Genomic DNA, 1514 nt, shown 5'->3' with positions numbered 1-1514 from the left:
ACATACTTTATATATTTACATTTGTATCCTTTATATATATACAAGTAGATTTGTAGATTGTGCTGAAATATAATCTCAGAGGAAGAACACTGCTAAGCTAATCTACACTTCTATCCTCTACCCTCCTACTACTCTTTTTGTTTTTCTACTTTAGGCTGTTACAGTCCCCTTTCTGTATTCGATCTAGTTCAAAGGTTGACTTTTGTTTGCATTCACAGCCTTCCCATTGTGGAGATTTATTTATTTTTCCTTTTGATCTCTCTTCCTTGAAAAGGTTAATTCATAAAGAAAAGAATGAGTCGATGACTATTTCCCTTGACCACTAAAACTTGATCTTCATTGTTCTCTTCCTTTGAAGGATTTCTCCCCACTTCCTTGTGTGAGGTATTCTATTTGGAGCACAAGACACACTTTAGTTGCCTGGGTCAGATGTAGAAATTACTTAAAATTCCTACAAACACCTTCTTTTATAAAATACGGAATCACAAAATATTGGTCTATATCAGAAATTATTTCAACACTATGATTAGGCTGGTGTTGCTCTCAGAAAAAAAAATAGTAATATACGTGATTTTTGTAATCAGCTTCTATTTCTTTTTTCAGTACTGATTCTTCCGTTTTCTCCTGGGATTCCTGCCTCCTCCCCTCTAGGAAGACATTCAGAAGATCTCACTTGCCTGAGCCGGAGGGGGACAGAGCTGCTACTACCTGCTGTGTCCGTGAGGAATCAGCCCAATAGGAAATGGAAGCAACACAGAAGAGAGACAGATGTGAGATGCAAATGGAGAAACTGCAGGCTGGGGACATCTTCTGAGCCTCTGAGTTCAGCCAGCCTGACAGCTGGTCTCTCTTCACTCCAGAACCTTTTTCAATCGTGAGGTCTGAAATACCTTTAGACTTTCAGTGGAGCCTGCTTCCTATGGGTTACAAAATTCTTTATCATGCATGGTTTAAATTGTGAAAACCTCTAGAAAAAACGTCTTAACTTGGTAATAATTTCATGCAAATTATTTTTATAAAGTGGCATGTATTTTAACAGAAGAAAACTTTTCTCAAACTATCCAATTTGCAGTAGCACAAGAAGGCAGTCGTGAGATTCTGCTAAAATTAATAGGCACATTGTTAAGTAATTATACAATATTAAAATATCACCAAGGGGACAGAACTGGAGATAAATGTCCTCATCTGGACTGGATGAAGCTCTTCTGGGATACCATGTTATAAAGTTCTTTAATTTAAAAAATTACATTTCCAGGGCCTAATATTGTCAGAAAGACAAATAATCTGGCTCAGTAAGAAGTACAGATTTAGAGGATTGTACTTAAGGGCCTAGCACCGTGGCTGTACATCATTGTCAAGCAGCAAGGAGTAGAGCTACAGACGCTGCATCCCTGGATCAACCGTGCAAGTGTTAATAGAAAAGGTATCCTTGAACATCTCTAAATCTGAGATGCCTGAGAGCCCAGTCTCTTGCTGAAACATTGCCTTTGGATGCTCCCAAGCATATATGCTGT

At 38.2% G+C, this 1514-nt stretch overlaps 1 annotated feature.

The window, feature by feature from the left end:
* Nucleotides 415-1011: an enhancer, noted in NCBI's record as "NANOG hESC enhancer chr7:51658353-51658949 (GRCh37/hg19 assembly coordinates)". NCBI's record gives its function as "activates a minimal SCP1, AML or CMV promoter by ChIP-STARR-seq in naive H9 embryonic stem cells {active_cell/tissue: H9 hESC(naive)}" and the evidence as "EXISTENCE:reporter gene assay evidence [ECO:0000049][PMID:30033119]".

The sequence above is a fragment of the Homo sapiens genome, chromosome 7 (genome assembly GCF_000001405.40).
Source record: "Homo sapiens chromosome 7, GRCh38.p14 Primary Assembly".
Classification (NCBI taxonomy): domain Eukaryota; kingdom Metazoa; phylum Chordata; class Mammalia; order Primates; family Hominidae; genus Homo; species Homo sapiens.
Note: the sequence above shows the minus strand (reverse complement) of the source record. Positions and strands in the feature narration are given on the sequence as shown.